Below are 18,708 nucleotides of genomic sequence, written 5' to 3'. Positions count from 1 at the left end.
AGAAGTCAATCTGAAAGGCTACATGTTGTATGATTTTGACTATATGACATTTTAGAAAAGGCAGAACTATAGAGTCAGTAAAAAAAAATGTCAGTGGTTGCTGGGAGTTAGTGGTGAGAGAGGGATGAATAGGTGGCAGAGCACAGAAGATTTTTAAGATAGCAAAACTATCCTGTGTGAAAATACAGTGGTGGATACATGTCATTATACATTCATCAAAACTGATAGAATGTACAGCTCCAAGAGTGAGACTTAATGTAAACTACGGTCTCTGGGTAACAATGATGTGTCAGTGTAAGTTTATTGATTGTAACAAAATATGAGTTGTTGATAGTGGGTGAGGCTACGCATGTATTGGGGCAGGAAATATATGGGAAATCTCTGTAAATTCTGCTTTATTTTGCTGTGAACTTAACATTACTTCAAAAATAAAGTCTGCTAAAAAACACAAAGGAACCACACAGAATTATTTTAGCAATTTAAAAAAAAAGTGATTTGAAGATCTAGAGTTGAATGCTGGCCTGACTGGGAAGTATTGAGGTTTGGAACCCTCCAGAAGTCTTCATTCTTTGTATGTTGAAGGGGTTCTTGATGTATATCAATAAATGGAGGTGCATAGTCCTGTAACTAACAAAGAATGTGTGTGGGTTTGACTGATCGAATGTCCATAAACAGATTTGCTTCAAATATCTCATATATGGAATTATTTATTCCCTTTCTCTCCATGTGACCTCCCTTGCCTTATAACATACACAGAGCCCTGCACTGGGTTGCCCATAGACTGTCCCTATCTTGGGACAGTTTGAACACAATCTGATAGACTGTTATGAGTCAAGGAAGGTTACCCTACACTTACTCCAGGAGCAGCCAACTCCTCCTTTGTTAAATAGATATGTATTACATACATATTTAATAAATAGACACCAAATTCATACACATTTAACTGGCTCTAGCCTTTAAAGAGAGAATTAGAAAAATTTTTCAAGGAGCTTCCAGGGACCAGGGCCAATGTGAAACTGTGACTGTGCCTGGGACATCTTTCCTGGGTTGGCCTGATAGGTTTGGTCTGTCTGCTACCAATAGGAGTCTTAGAAATACTGGCTATGTATATGCATCCCTTTTTTCAGATAGTTAAAAATAAGAAAAGCAGATACAAGTAAAAAGCCAACAAATTAATATTAAGGGTGAATTAAAGGATGTTATGTAATTGACTTTGTTGTTAGAAAAAAAAGCTCCTTAGCATGTTAGTAATGGCAAATCAATAAAGTTACCTTGGAATAACAGTGACATGTTTGCATATACATACAAATATTAATACTCTTTCACAGAGGAACAGGGTATTAATTTATGGAAATATGATGTTAATTCTGGTTTAAAATGAGTAAAATGTTATTCTATAAGAAGCAAGTTTATGTAGCGGAGTTGAAATTTACATGCAATGTACATGGTCAATGAAAGTTTTCCTTCTTTTCTTTTCTTTTTTTTTTTTTTTGAGACAGAGTCTCACTCTGTCACCCAGGCTGGAGTGCAGTGGCGCAATCTCGGCTAACTGCAAACTCTGCTTCCCGGGTTCATGCCATTCTCCTGCCTGAGCCTCCCGAGTACCTGGGACTACAGGTGCCTGCCACCACGCCTGGCTAATTTTTTGTATTTTTAGTAGAGATGGGGTTTCACTGTGTTAGCCAGGATGGTCTCGATCTCCTGACCTCGTGATCCACCTGCCTCAGCCTCCCAAAGTGCTGGGATTACAGGCGTGAGCCACTGCACCCATCCGAAAGTTATCCTTATTTTCTAAAGACCCCAAACTTTATGATGGGGGAGAGGAATGAACTTAATCTTGACAAATAAAGGTAGATTTGAATTTGATATGGTCTATTGTACATTTAGGATTCACCCAGTGTATTTTATGTAATAGTCAATTCAAAGTACAAATTTTATATGAGGGCTATTATTCTTCTGTCTCCAGGTCCCCCTTCCCATGAAGGGTTGCTCAGTGAGAAACTGATGTGACCTCGCAGTGAAGGGCTAGGAGTGGGAGACTGGCATATGAGCTGTTGTTAGTGTCTTCCCTATTTTTGTGGTATGCTTAATCTGTGCTAGTCGTTGGGTGTTGTGAACAGGCGTCCTCTTTGGTGTGACTTGCTATTTTCAAAGTCATTTGGGTAGATGCTGCTGAAATCCATCAAGGCTGCCATTTACTTTGGTCATGAAGTTTCTGTATTCTGAATTGTGAAGCCTCCTCCTGACTTCTAGTCTCAGATGGTCCACTGTTCTCTCCATATCTCCTAGTCCTCTATCTAGGAATTCCTGGGCCTCCTGCATGGCATTTTCATGCCGTGTGGGCTCAAGGGGACATTTTAGACTTATTTACTGTATTAGTCAGGGTCTCTTTAGAAAAACAGAATCAATAGGATGTGAGTATATATTTAAAAATATTATTTTCAAGGAATTGGCTCACATGACACAGGGATTGGCAAGTGTAAAATCTCTAAGGGAAGCCAGCAATCTGGAGACCCAAGGAAGAGCTGATGTTGTAGGTCACAAGTCCAAAGGCAGTCTGAAAGCAGAATTCCTTCCTTTTTAGGGGCCCCCAGTCTCTTAAGGCCTTCAACTAATTTGGTGAGGCCCATCCATATTACTGAAGGTAATCTGCTTTACTCAGTTTACTGATTTAAATGTTAATCATGCCCGCAAAATAACTTCACAGCAATATCTACACTGGTGTTGTAGCAAACAACTGGCCACCATAGCTTAGCCAAGTTGACACCTAATAACCATCATATCTAGAGTAGTTTACATCCATCAGGTTTTGCTACCCTACTGCTGCCTTGCTGTGCTGGACAGGTTTGGGTGAGTATAACACATGTTGGATGCTGTCATACTCTCTCTGAAACCTCTCTATGGCTGTATTAAAATTATTATACTTGTATACTTGTTCCTTTTGGATGAGACTCTAGGAATCAGAGAAAATAGATTCTTCTTCTAGAACCTGAATAACCCTTGCATTATCTTGTCCTCTCTGAATCCTTCTTATTCTTACTATTTTAGATTTATTTTCTCTTCATGGTAGAAACTTCCTTTACCATACATACATATGTTAGACAGGGTTTCACCCTGTCAGCCAGGCTGCAGTGCAGTTGTGCAATCATAGCTCAATGCAATCCCCCCAGGCTCAGGTGATCCTTCCCCCTCAGCCTCCTGAGCCAGGGCTACAAGCACGGGCCACCAGGCCCAAATATTTTTTTATTTCTATTTTATTTTATTGTAAAGAGGAGGTTTCGTCATGTTTCCCAGGATGGTCTCAAACTCCTGAACTCAAATGATCCACCCACCTCAGCCTCCCAAAGTGCTAAAATTATAGGTGTGAGCCAATGTGCCCAGCCTACGCTATGTTTTTCGTTATTTCTACACCATAACTCTTTAATTTGATTCAGCCAGGCTTGGCTCTTAATATGTAAAGGAATAGTTTTGAAATGTAGAAAAGTCCTTTCTTAACAAAGCCTAAGAGGAAATTGGGCTTTACTTTTTTACTTTGTGATTCAAAAGCCGCATATGTTGACTCTGTATTTATGCTATAAAAATTCCAATTCTTCTTTGAACAATGGATTAAAAGAGAGAAAGATAACACACAATGAAGTTAGCAGAAAACAAAAACAACAACATCACTCTAATCTCTTTAAAAATACATTTTCCCTGTTATACAATAATTACACACTAGGTTCTGTAAGATTCAAGATAGTTTTATAGAATAATTGGGAAAATATTGCAAGAGGATAAATGCCAATATAAACTCAGGAACAAATAATATAAACAGTAGTTCAGAGGAGAAAGCCATTTAAAAAACACACACTAGGCCAGGCGTGGTGGCTCACATCTGTAATCACAGCACTTTGGGAGGCCGAGGGGGCAAATCATGAGGTCAGGAGATCGAGACCATCCTGGCCAACATGGTGAAACCCTGTCTCTACTAAAAATACAAAAATTAGCTGGGCGTGGTGGCACGCCTGTAGTCCCAGCTACTCGGGAGGCTGAGGCAGGAGAAGCACTTGAACTTGGGAGGCGGGGGTTGCAGTGAGCTGAGATCATGCCACTGCACTCTAGCCTGGTGACAGAGCGAGACTCTGTCTCAAAAACAAAACAAACAACAAAAAATCCCCACAAAAACACACACTCTATTTCCTACCTGCTTACAAAAAGATAAAACCATGAGTAATTTTTGGCTTTAGCCCTCTGAGGGAGCTGAGCCTTAAGAGAATCTCCTAGGTTCTCAGTTCTATTCAATTCCCCTATGGCTTCTTTTTCACTATGTATGGGTCTGTCCTGACTTCAGGCTTCCCAATGCTGATATTTTTATACACTGTGTCCTAAACAGATACTTGACAGCTTTTGGTAGTCTGAGAATGTGATAATGCACATCCATTTTGAATCAGAATGATAACTCTTTTAGGGTCCATTACTTAACCATAAAATAAAACTAGAGGGTCTTTCACATTTACTTTCTTTCTCTAATAATGCAAAGGAGAAAGCAACCTGAATAATAAAATAATTCTTGCAAAAATTTCATATTGCTTTTTAATTCTAATATGGTACATACAATAAGATACTAATCTAATATCTATTTAATCAATATTTTTGGAAACTTTATTTATAATCTTTAATGCAATTTTTACAATCGGTATAATTTCTCTTTCCTGTAAATAAATAAATATTTATTATTTACAAATAAATATATACTTATATATTTAAATATATTATTAATATATATTTATATATTTAAATATATTATTAATATATATTTATATATTTAAATATATTTATTATTTAAATGTTTACATATATTTATTATTTTTATATATGTAAATATATTTATTTACTTGTAGGAGCTAGAGATTATACCCTGATTATTTATATACATATACATATGTGTGTATATATATATATGTGTGTGTATATATATATATATATATATATATATACACACACACACACATATATATAAAATCTAGATTTCTTCTTCAACCAAGTAAACCTCAATATTATATTGTTATTCTTCTTTGTATCTCCCATAGTTTTGAGGACAGGTCGGCATGTAGGAAGATGCTCAATGAATCCTTTTTGGAATTAATCGTGTAGACAAAAGTGTGCTACTTGGTATCGTGAGCAAATATTCCACATCTTTCCTTTTTCTTCAACACTGAATTCTTTCAACATTGTTTATCTTATCCAGATTGACTAGCTAGTAAGGAATATGGAATGTGGGGAAAAGTGTGAAATCTGCAGTTTATAGCAATTTGTGTGATTTAGAAATTTTGAATAGGTGGCAAAGTCCCTTTTCATATTTAAAAATTATGGACTAAGAACTTGTCATGCAATCAACAAATTATAAAAATGGAGCATACAGAAGTAAAAGTGCTGACTCAATGTATGAAACTAACCTAACATTTATCAAATTTTAAGCAGCATTGCGATATTGAGATATACATTAAGTAACTTTAAATAGTCTTTTAAAAAACTGTTCTAGTGAGTTTTGAACAGCCAGGTTAAGCATTTGTGGGACAGTGGGTAGAAAAGATGACCTTGAGGAAAGTGAGTCAGAGATACACTTTTCTTTCATAAGTAGGTAGAAGTACTCTTTTGTTGTTCTGTCCAGTGACTTGATGGTCAGTTAGCTCTACAGCTTTTCCAGGTGATCTCATGGCTTGTAGGAGGTGAGAAGTAGCTCTCTTTCAGAAAGGCCAGTGATATCTCCTAAATGAGTCTATTAAAGTGCTATAATTCCATATATTCAGCAGCACCAGAGCCTGAGTATTTAGATTCTTTCTTCCTACAAAAGAGAGTAGTTATCACAACAGGAATGATAAAGCTGTAGTGTTAATACGGCCAACAACATAATAGCAGAGATTCGTCTGTTGGTTCTCTAATAATTTTTCAGCCTGAACACTGCCCAACTTCTCTTTATCTCCTGCTGATGTTGTTCTTGCCCTGAAGCCCACCATTCATTATACTGCTCTTTCTTTTTCTCACTGAGGCATCCCATTACTGCTTGTTTTCATCAGTAAGATTCTTCTGAAAAATTACAAGGAAAGGTAGCCAGTGACATTTATGGCTTGTTGGCATGCATTTTTATCTACTTTAAGAGTCATGTCAAGAAATACTGTGTACGAGGGTAATCCTAAATAACTGCTCAGACACAGTATGATTTCTGAAAACAACAACAACAACAATAACTACTATTACTACTCCTCTTACTGCTAATCGCCATAGAGACAGAAAATAATATTTTGGACAAACACACCTCCACTTGGCTGATTTCTTGACATCCTAACACCCTTTCAATTTCCAGAAAATCCTCTTTTGTGAGAAGGTAGGGTGATCAAAAATGTCACTCAGGAAATGCAATTAATGATTTTTCTGCCTCAGCAGCTTTAAGATTACCCACCAGCCCGAACTTGTTTCCTCAGCATATTTTACAAGCTTTTCGGCTTCTCTTGACCAATCCATAATTTTATAGTGTTGAAATCTATATGATAGGTTAGTCCTAAATGAGTTTACTTAAGACAATCTTATTTTGCTTCTGATGCTTTCCCGAAGTTATCTCCTTATGGATACACATCCATCACATTTTTTACTGCAATACTTCCTATGAAATTACAGCCCTCGGCACATAGCTTCAGGTTGGTTCTGATCAGTGCACTAAAACTGTAAAAAAGATACTGAAAAAAAAAATGCATAGAGTTCACAGTCTTCCTTTCATATAAACATAATAGGATGAAATTACCTGTAGGGTCATTTTTATTCTGTATTCTCCCACTGTGTCAAATTCAGCTGTATTGGACATGGAAGGCTAAAGGTATGAAATGGTGGCCATTTTTCTAAAAGCCATTTCTCTGAGCATCTCAGCCGTAGTCTCCAAGGTATATAGCGATCCTTTTCTGTTGAAAGGTCATTTCTTTTCCTTTTTTCATCCAATATCCTTACTGGTCATTTATTTGTTTGACAATTCCAGAAAGTAGGGATAAAAGGTCCATATGCTTTAACGTATTAAGTAAATAATACCTGCTATCTTATTATATATATGTGTGCATCTGTATATACTGATATACATATACATGGAATACACTTGTATACATTAAAAGCTTAAAAGTACTTATCTCCATTCATATAATTCTCACAACAAATGGGGTGGTTATTATTTAAATTTTACAGTGGCTAAAACTGAGGATCAAGAAGGTTAAGCAAGTTACCCATAGTTGTGAAGCCAGGTGTTTTGGTACCTTGCCTGGTACTTTTTTCCCCCCAACAAAATCACTTTAATTCTGAGCATTAGGATAACCTACTTATTTTAAAATAGAAGCTGTAGATGATAATTATGGAAATTCATAAATGTACTTGGAATGGAACTTAGTTTTAGCCATGAATATATGTAAAATAATTTGTTTGTCAAGTCTTCTTCAGAAAATTGAGATTAGAGGAGATGGAGAAAAACAATAGGTAAGTTTTTATGTAAGAGAGGAGGTCCAGGAGTGCTTGGGTCTAGGGAAACTTGGGACAGAAAGTCACATAGGAAGAATGTGGAATTCGAGAGTTGGTCTGGGAGGAATGACGAAGGATGCTACAAAGCAAAAGAAGATGTTCCAAGAGAAGAGTGAAAATGTTGAAGGCAGATTTTTCCCCATACCTTATTCTGGTAAGAGACATTTCTTTGCTATACTTATAGGGAATTCATTATTTTTTCAAAAGTAGCACTGATATCTATAACTTAAAATGCCACTTATTATATAACCATAATCTAAAACAATCAAATGATCATGTTTAAGCACCATATGTTTAAAAATACTCATTAAAATTAATTTCTGTTCAAAGTCTGAAAGTTTCTAAAACATAAATTTATTTAACTGGTCAGCCATAATTTATAAAATATATTTAAAATTTCATATTAATATTATAAATATAGATTGTTATAGTAAACTTTTCTCTCCACTAGCCCCTACAGATAATGTAGAATTCAGTGCTTTCAGCTTTTTAAGATGCTATTTAGAGTAGAAAATTCATTATGGCCATTTCTCTGCTGAGGGCATAGTCACGATTTCTAAAAAGACTTTCCAATACCAGTTAATGTGACTTTAGTTTAAGTTCTAAGGGTCAGGGAATTAGAAAAAAATCTAATAATTATAAATCAGTTTCCACGGTTTCTTGTTTCCTTTTTGGAGACATGATCACCCCTTTCAGTGAGAAATGTGACTTCATCAAAACAAGAAGAAAATAGAAGTGCTCATATTTAACTTTTCAATATTAGAAGAGTACAAAAATTAGTATACCAGAAAAGTACAGGTAATGCATCTGAAATAAAATAAAGTGAAATTGTCTCTTAAATAGGAAGACAAATATCATTGGGTAAGCAGAAATATCCAAGTTATTTTAAAGAGTTTTCAAAATGCATTTTCTAAGGCTGACATAGTGCCACTGTAATTAGAAACAGGTGCATATAAATTAGAAAGGAGAGAAGACTAATTGTTACTAATGAAGTTTTTAAAGTAAAAACTTTACTTAATGAAATGCATAATTAAGCATTAATGGCCAAAAGACGGAAATCTTCTTTCACTTGGGTTAGATTTTGGTTTAAGGTGAAGCCTAATTTGTTATTAATGCTAAAAGTGTTTCTGCTTCTATATGTTTACAAAAGCAAGCAAAACAACTGACATAATTTTATGATGTGGATTTTGATATGCCTTGAAAAAGGCAATGATTTCCTGATTTGACAGTAGTAGAGGGAAATAATGAGAACATTAAACCCAGGATATAGTGTTGGACCCCACTTACAGGATTCTTATAAGCAAAGAGGACATCTCTTCATCCTAGAGCAATAAAATCCTATTCTTATGGGTTCAAATCTTTTTGGGTAGTTCAGACATCAATCCTCACAGTGATTCTTAACTTTAATTTCATATTGAATTCCTGGAGAGTTTAAAAAGTTTCCATGCTCAGACTCCATCCCAGACAAATTAATCCAACTGTGCATTTGTAGGAATGGGTTGGCACCCAGGCTTGAGTAATTTTTCAAAGCCCCAAGAGGTACTGAGTCTTGGAAAGGCCATATGTAGAGTTTTCTAATGCATAATATAATACTGTTTGCCTTTCTCTTTGCTAGGTAATCCTTTGCCCACCTTCCCCCTCAGAGTTATTTATCCTTCACAGACTAACCCAGCTGCCACTTAGTTGGGAAGCTTTCTCAATAATTAATCACTTGAACTTCTGTGTGTTGACTCTACTGTAGTTTGAAAACATTTATTGTTGTCCTTAGCACACTCTTTCAGAATTTTCCAATTATGTCTCTTTTCAACTCTTTAAAACTAAATAAATAAATTTAGAAAAGTTAAATTCAGGGCAGCAAATTCAGCTTTGTATTCCCAATGGCTAGCAGAGTACTTGACCCACAAGAGGTGCCCAATGTATCCAATATACGTTTGTTGAATTGTTTGATTGCACATCCTTGATGTATTCTACCTCAGTGACAAGTTTATTTGATATATTCTTGTGATGTGTATATATATTTGTGTGTGTATGTAGGTATATAATGCACACACACACATTTTCATGGAATTTGCACACGTGAATTTAAACTTATGCCGTTTCTGTATTGGCAGAGGTAATGGAGATGTGCATTGAAAGAAGTAAATTGTTTGACTCAAAATGTTTTATTTTTCAAATTTGTGTTATATAGTTCTTAGCATCATCAAAGCTTATAAGGAAGGTTTAGTGCTACCTTAAACCAATAATTTACTGCCAATAATTTAATATCAAAGGAGAAATATTAACTACAGATTTCTGCTTCATTTTAAAAAAAGTACTTCATTTTTTCCACTGTGGACGTATACATTTTCATGTGAGAGTCAGCCATTTTTGTGCTTGAGAGATGTGTGTTTCCAGAAAAGTACAGAGTTAACTTTAAAACCTTCAAGGGAAATTGGAATCATAAGCTAAAACAACAAACAAACAAATGAAAGAACCCTTCAGAAATAATAAACTACTGGCCAGGCTTGGTGGCTCATGCCTGTAATCCCAGCACTTTGGGAGGCCGAGGCAGGTGGATCACGAGGTCAAGAGATGGAGACCATCCTGGCCAGCATGGTGAAACCCTGTCTCTACTAAAAAAACAAAAATTAGCTGGGTGTGGTGGTGTGTACCTGTAGTCCCAGCTAGCTGCTCGGGAGGCTAAGGCAAGTGAATCACTTGAACCGGGGAGGCAGAGGTTGCAGTGAGCCCAGATCAGCTGCCATTGCACTCCACTCCAGCCTGGGTGACAGAGCGAGACAGTCTCAAAAAAAAAAAAAAAAAAAAGAAAAGAAAAGCAAAAGAAAAAAAAATAAGCTATTTGTGAAATGATTAGAAAATTATTTTTAAATTTATTTTTAAAAAATAGCTTCCTGGAATAGGAGAAAGGCACATCCATAAAATAGGGTAGGTTTCTAAAAACCTTTGGAGTAATCTCCAAGATACAAGATGCAGAAAATGTGTATTGTAGGTTTATTCTTATGCAAGAAGTGTTAGCATGTGTGTGTTAACAATGTGTGTGTGTGTATATTGCTAATATTTTCTTTTTTCTTTTTTTTGAGATGCAGTTTCGCTCTTGTCACCCAGGCTGGAGTGCAATGGCACCATCTCGGCTCACTGCAACCTCTGCCTCCTGGATTCAAGCGATTCTCCTGCCTCAGCCTCCCGAGTAGCTGGGATTACAGGTGGCTGACACTACGCCTGGCTAATTTTTGTATTTTTAGTAGAGACTGGGTTTCGCCATGTTGGCCAGGCTGGTCTCCAACTCCTGACCTCAGGTGATCTGCCCATCTCAGACTCCGAAAGTACTAGGATTAGCAGGCGTGAGCCACTGTGCCTGGCTGCTAATAGGTTCAAAAAGAAATAAGGCAAGGATAAGCCAAAAAGTAATAAAAATGTTGATCTTTAGGGATAGGGAGAGAACAGAGGAGACAGGATAATGATGGAGGTTAGACCTTTATTAAAGTGCTTTGTTTTATGGTTTGGGTTTAGGAACTATATATTAAGTAATTAAAAAATAATGTTAATTAGAAAAACAACAAAGCAATCTGTAAAATACAAAACAAACTAATGAACCTAAGTCTAGATCACAGAGAACTATACAAAGAAGAATAATTTCAAGTGATTTTTAAAATGAAGTATTTTGACTTTACATCACTAGTGAGATCTATTGTCAAGACAAAGGGAAGCACAGAGAAATATTGAATGGTATTCAATGATATTGAGGTTAGTAATGATGACATTGCTTTATAAAAACTATTATTAGTAGATACATAAATAAGTAGGTGATAAAGATAAAACACCTTTGATTGTAACACTTTTTAGATAAAGATAAGACAAATAAGTGGGAACAAGCAAATGTCAGGAGCCGTAATATTCAGAGAAAAGAAAAAATATAAAATCAAGGAAGTTAAGAAAAAATCCTGTAATTATTAATTCAAATTAGAGATGCATAAATTTACATATTTTTCTCTATCTGAAAATATGTTTTCTAGATTTGTCTACTGAAAAGTGCTAGAAGCAATGACCACACACTCAAAATGGCTACTCTAGAACTCACGTAAAGGCTTTTAAATGCCATTTCCTACCAAAAGGAACAAGCCTCTTTAGAGAAATGGCTGATTGCAGGTTGGGGCAGGGATTGGACAAGATGAGCCTGGGACATCTTGACAGAACAGATAAAGAGAAAGCTATCCAAGCATATGACTATCATTTTAAACTTACACAAGAGCCAGCCTGAAGGGCTCACACTGGCCGAAGGGAGGGCAAGAGAATAATGACTGCAGTGAATGCAGTGAAACACTTCATGACATCCAAAACAAAAGCAAATAAATATAAAAGTTAAAACACAAAACCTATTGAACACCTTTGGAGGTAGCTAGGACATCAACTCATTTATTTGAAAGCTCATAAAAGAAAAGATTCAGACATTTATTCTGTCTTTTCTGTATGGATAGAATTTCAAGGTACCTAATAATTTGTGAGATAATTTTTTGTTTATAGAAAAATTGCTATCAAATGCAGAGAGAATGCTAAATATTACCATTTTGCAAGTGCTAATAAAATAATGAATTGAGGCAACAATCACAAATGGCTGCTAGAATCATTACATAAAAGGGTGATGGGGAAATTGATAATGGGTCACCCTTAATCTCATCATAAGTGTGGAAATTGAGGCATGTGACTTCCTGAAGTAAAAAAAAATGAGCACTTTCATCCATGAAGTATTCTTGCCAAAAGAGAAAAATTAATTAGTGTAATAAACCTCAATCAATATGGCTTTTATTTCTAACTCCAACTTGTAGGAAATAGAGAAGAAAGAGGAACATATTAAACACCATTATTAGGATTCAATTAGCTATATACAGAATAGAAAAACATCTATAGATGAATGACCCAGTTTCTTCAACAAAGAGCTTTAAAAAAATAAAGGGAGGAAGGAATTTTATAGATTAAAAAAATACCTTAAGAGATTCGTCAACCAATTGGATCCTGATTCCTGATTTGTACCAAAAAATTCAAAAAGGCATTTTTCTGGTAACTGAACATGGGCTGGTTATTTGTTGATAATAAGAAATTATTATAAATTTTGATGTATGTGGTAATGATCTTGTGATACATTTTAAATTGTGTGTGTGTGTGTGTGTGTGTGTGTGTGTGTGTGTGTGTGTGTGACCAGGCTGGAGTGCAGGGCGCCATCACGGCTCACTGTAGCCTCGACCACCCAGGCTTAAGCGATCCTCCCACCTCAACCCCCTGAGGAGTTGGGACTACAGGCATATGTCACCATGTCTGACTAATTTTTAAAGTTTTTGTAGAGACAGGGTCTCCCTATGTTGCCCAAGCTGGTCTCAAACTCCTGGGCTCAAGTGATCCTCCTGCTTTGGCCTCCCAAAGTGAAATTACAGGTATGAGCCACCACGCCCCTCCCTGAAAATTCTTTTTAGATAGAGATACCTACTGAGGTATTCATGTGTAAAATGATATGCTTTCTTGAATTTGCTTTAAAATATCTTAGCAATAAAAGGCAAAGGAATAAATTAGAACAGTAGAATGTTAATAATTGTTGGAAATGGTTGGCTGATATATACATGAGTTAATAAGACAATTTCCCTACTTTTTTTAATGTTTGAAATTTTCCATAATGAAAAGTTAAGATACGTAACACTCAGCATTATCAATGTGCATACTGTATAAAAAGATCAGAAATCTGTTTTAGACCAAAAGGAATAGGCCATTTAGCAATATAATATCTTCTATTGTCTATTTTGACCCTAATGTCATAGCAAAAACTTTTTTTAATTGAAAAACTAAAATATTTCAATTGAGGAATTATTATTACACAATTATTTTATTAACTATGAGAAAAGGAAATGAATTGAGTATTTAAAAAAATTGTTTAGTTACTTTTTTGAGATGAGGTCTCTCTGTCGCCCAGGCTAGAGTGCAGTGGCACCATCATTATAAACAATGTCTTGTTTATAATTTTGGGCAAATTATTTCTCTATTAGCCAGGACACACTTGAGAAATATTTTTTTCTGGTAGTAATTTGAAGTGCTCCATTATCCCATTCTTGTCTCTTTTGCATATGTAAACTGCTGCTGATGTCCATGCATACAGCTTGTTGCCCTGGAAGAATGAAACTAATTGGAAATAATAGGACTCAAAGAGGCCATTTTGGATTTACTATGGTTGATCCTTACTCAAATCTAAGCCAAATGTCCATATGTACTTGAAATCCCCAAATTATATAATTTTCCCATTACCCAATTATAGAGCTTGAAGAATTCTCAAAGGATGAATGAAAACATTTAAAAACCATTAGATATTATATTGAGGAAGGGACAATTTTGTTGTAAGACTTTACAAGTCTTCCAAAATCATTAAGTTTTAAGAAACAACTTCCAGGTTCTGGGGGAGGATGGTGTCTCCAACTTATTAAAAAATATTATCAGTTTGGTTGACATAAAATGTAACAATTTTGCAGAATAAAGCTTGATAATACATTAATAAGAATTTGAAGCACGACAATTTTATTTCTAATTGTGAATATCACAAATGTGCTTTGCAAACACCTGGTTGGGTTGCAACTAAGAATGTTTGTGATAGTTAACAAAATGTGATGACCAATTACATAGCCGATAGGTGTCTCCAGGGTGTTTCATAGTTAAAACATCCTTTCAATTACTTTCAGTTTTTGAGAGTATAGTAAAAAAATGATATATATTTGAAATTAACCACATCAAAAAAAAATATTAAGGGTGACCTGGAGGAGTTTATAGGTAAGTGCCCTTCTCATAGCCTAACTGTTAGATTGTGGTATCTCACTTTTAAATAATGTTTATTTTCAGTGTAAGGTATAAAAAGGCATATACAGAACTTTCTGACCATTTTTCTTTTTCTTTTTTTTTTTTTTTTGAGACAGAGTCTCCCTCTGTTGCCCAGGCTGGAGTGCACTGGTGTGATCTTGGCTCACTGCAACCTCCGCCTCCTGGGGTCAAGTGATTCTCCTACCTCAGCCTCCCGAGCAGCTGGGATTACAGGCACACGCCACCATGCCTGGCTAATTTTTGTATTTTTAGTAGAGACGGGGTTTCACCATGCTGGCCAGGCTGGTCTGGAACTCCTGACCTCGGGTAATCCACCCACCTCGGCCTCCCAGAGTGCTGGGATTACAGGTGTGAGCCACCGCGGCTGGCCCATTTCTCTTATTTTGGACAAATATAAGTGGGATTTCTCCAAGTAGTTGGAGTTTAATCTACACATTTTTATCTTCTATAGAATATAGTAAAGCAGGCAGGGCATGGTGGCTCATGCCTGCAATCCTAGCACTTTGGGAGGCCAAAGCGGGTGGATCACTTGAGCTGAAGAGTTTGAGACCAGCCTGGCCAACATGGTGAAACCCTGTTTCTATTAAAAACACAAAAATTAGCTGGGCGTGCTGGTACATGCCTGTAATCTCAGCTACTTGGGAGGCTAAGGCAGGAGAATCACTTGAACCCGGGAGGCGGAGGTTGCAGTGAGATGAGATCGCACCACTGTACTCCAGCCTGGGTGACAGAGAGAGACTCTATCCGCCCCCCACCAAAAAAAGAATATTGTAAAGCAATTTAATTTTAGTCATCTCTAAAATATAGCTACCTCTTGAATTTTTTTAAAATTATACTTAAAGTTCTAGGGTACGTGTGCACAACGTGCAGGTTTGTTACATATGTATACGTGTGCCATGTTGGTGTGCTGCACCCATTAACTTGTCACTTACATTAGGTATATCTCCTAATGCTATCCCTCCCCCCTCCCCCCATACCTCTTGGATTTTAAATAATTAGAAACAATGAAAAACAATTCCTTATCTAATTTTCCCTTACTTTTGAACTACTGCAAATGTCAACTCATTATTGATTATCTAAAGTAGCCCCAAAGTATCTACATATCACAGATCATTTAAAAAATTTATCTTTAATTTTTGTGTGTATATAGCAGATGTATATATTTATAGTGCATGTGGGATATTTTGATACAGGCATAGGATTTGTAATAATCACTTCAGGATAAATGAGGTAACCATTGCCTTAAGCATTTATACTTTGTGTTACAAACAATATAATTATACTCTTTTAGCTATTTAAAAATGTACAATTTAATTATTATTGACTATAGTCACCTTGTTGTGCTATCAAATACTAGATCTTATTCATTCAATTTTTTTATACCCATTAGCTGTCCCCCCACTGCCCCCCATGATGGTTACCATTCCCAGTCTGTGGTAACCATCATTCTACTTTCTATCTCCGTGAGTTCAATTGTTTTAATTTTTAACTTCCACAAATAAGTGAGACCATGTGAAGCTTGTCTTTCTGTGCCTGGCTTACTTCATTCAGCATAATACCCCTCAGTTCCATTCATGTTGTTGCAAATGACAGGATCTCATTAATTTTTATGGCTGAAATAACCATAAAAATGTGTATATGTACCACATTTTCTTTATCCATTTGTCTGCTGATGGACACTTGGGTTGCTTCCAAATTTTGGCTATTGTGAATAGTGCTGCAATAAACATGCGAATGCAGATATCTCTTCAGTATACTGATTTCCTTTCATATGGGTACATTTCTAGCAGTGAGATTGCTGGATCATATGGTAGCTCTATTTTTAGTTTAGCTCGAGGCTCTAGGGCTCTACAATCAGCAGGTGGTGAGGCCAGCCAGGCTTGTATCCTTCTGTTAAGGGTGGCATGTTCCCCTGGGCCCTAGGTGGGTTCAGAGATGCTGTCTGGTAGCCAGGTCTGGAGTCGGAAACCTTAGAAACATATATTGTGATCTATTCTACTGCAGCTGAGCTGGTGCCAAAACCAGAAGACAAAGTCCTTCCTACTCTTTCCTCCCCTTTCCCCAGGCAGAGGAGTCTCTCCCTGTGTCCACCACCACTGCAGGCCCATGGGGAGTACTGCCAGGGTACCACCAGTTTTCACTTAAGGCCCAAAGGCTCTTTCAGCAGCTTGCGGTGAGTGCTGCCAAACCTGGGATTCACTCTTTAGGGCAGTGGGCTCCCTTCTGGCCCAGGGTAGGTCCTGAGATGCCATCCAAGAGTCAAGACCTGGAGTTGGGGACCCCAAGAACCCACTTGGTGCTCTTTTCCACGGTGGCTAAGCTGGTATGTAAGCTCAAGACAAAGTCCCCTTTACTCTTCTCTCTGCTTTTCTTGGGCACAAGGGGTCTCTCCTTGTAGGCATCACAACAGTAAATGTGCTGAGTCACACCTGAAGCCAGTACATCTCAGAGTCTCATTAAAGGCCCGTTGCATGTGTTAATACCTGGTAATACTACCTGGTTACTGCTGCTGATTATTTAGGGCTAATAACTCTTTAGTTAGCAGGTGATGAATCCTGCCAGGCCTGGGTCCTTCCCTTCAATGCAGCAGGTTCCCTTCTGGCCCAGGGTGGGTCTAGAAATGTTCCCTGGGAGCAGGACCTGAAATGGGGTCCTCAGGACTCTGCCCAGTGCCCTATCTTACCATGGCTGAGCTGGCATCCAAGTTGCAAGACAAAGTCCTTTTTCCTTTTTCCTCTTCTCTCCTCGCGTGGAAGGAAGCTTCTTTTGAAGCTGTGAGCTGCACTGCGTGGAGTTGGGGGAGGGGTGGCATATGCACTCCCTTAGCCTCCCTGGCTGATGTCTCACTAGGTCATCTGCCCCCGCAAGTCCATCGGCTCCAAACCCAGTACAGCACTATGAATTGCATAGGAGTTGTAGTCCTTGTGGTCTAGACAGCCTTTGAAGTTTATTTAGATCTCCAGAGCCCTTTAGCCCATGGTGGTGAGGCTTGCTAAAACTCAAGTTCCAACTGCTGGGCTGGGTGATTTCCGTCTGGCTTGGGTCGGTCTCAATGCTTGCTCCATGGACACCAGCTGAGTTCTGTCCAGTGTTGGCAGCACTGCCTTCCAATGCAGTCCCACGATTGCTGTGCTCTTCCTCCCCCAAATGCAGATTCTCTCTCTGCACCACATGACTGCTGCTGGCAGACTGGCAATTCAAGACTGTCTTTCTTACGCTCTTAAAGTGCCTCTTACAGCGATATAAAGTTAAAACCAGGTACTATGATTGCTCACCTGATTTTTGGTTCTCATGAAGGTGCTTTTTTGGTGTAGATAGTTGTTAAATTTGGTGTTTGTGTGGGGAGGATGGTTGGTGGATGCTTCCATTCAGCATCCACCAATGCCGAATAGATCTTGCTCTGCCCACTTCATATCATAGATTTTAAGGAGGGCTTGTGGAAAATATACAAGTTTTGAGTTGATTCTCCGTAGTTAAAATTACCCAGCTCTATAGGGTGATTATTGTAGGCCTGACCCTAGAAGGCCAAGTGATGATGCTGTAGATGTAAGAAATTGGGAACCAGTATGTTTGAGTACTCACTCTATACAAGGAATTTCCAGCAGTATCTATTTCATATGATCTTTAAAATAACACTGTGAGATAGATATTAGTACTCCTAGTTTTGACTTTACATAAGTAGAAATGGAAACTTGAGAGATTAAGTACTTTCTTGAATTTTATGCAGCTAACAAGAAGGGGAGTTTATAGCTTAACTCTGATTTGAAAACTGGTATCTCCTCAACTGTATCAAGTTACTTGCATGCCCATTGACACTGTGCTTTCTACTTTGCCCATGGTCAATACTCACAGTCTCTTTTTCTCATCCCAGTTTTCTAAATGTAATACTGTTAGGCAGAATGTTCATATAACTCTCATATAAGATATATGGTACTTTGTGATATTTGTAGTCAGCTAAAGATATTTGATTTAGTAGGCAGGTATTTTTCATAGTATGGGACTTTTACCATTCCTTTATTTTGTTATGATTGGGGTTTCTTTCCCTATTTTGATTCATTATTTTTATTTTAAATACCCAGGCTATTCAATACTCTTGGTTCATCAAATTCTTAATAATCTACATTATATGTTAGTTCAAATGTTTTTCAATGAGTGAACATAGTTTTCCAAATAATGTAAAATATCAAGAACAACATGCTGACAGTCTTCCTCTCATCCTCCACCCCTGAAAGAAAACAATGCTTCAGTTCATACATAGGATTGTTTTGTAGGAGATTACTGTTTTATCTGAGAACAAAATAATGAATGAGGAGACAATAAAGGAAT

General features: G+C 37.1%; 1 annotated feature.

The window, feature by feature from the left end:
• Positions 16,798-17,297: an enhancer, noted in NCBI's record as "H3K27ac hESC enhancer chr2:196278375-196278874 (GRCh37/hg19 assembly coordinates)". NCBI's record gives its function as "activates a minimal SCP1, AML or CMV promoter by ChIP-STARR-seq in naive H9 embryonic stem cells {active_cell/tissue: H9 hESC(naive)}" and the evidence as "EXISTENCE:reporter gene assay evidence [ECO:0000049][PMID:30033119]".

Source organism: Homo sapiens, chromosome 2, assembly GCF_000001405.40.
Source record: "Homo sapiens chromosome 2, GRCh38.p14 Primary Assembly".
In the NCBI taxonomy this organism is placed as follows: Eukaryota; Metazoa; Chordata; class Mammalia; order Primates; family Hominidae; genus Homo; species Homo sapiens.
This window is presented reverse-complemented; position numbering and strand designations above follow the sequence as displayed.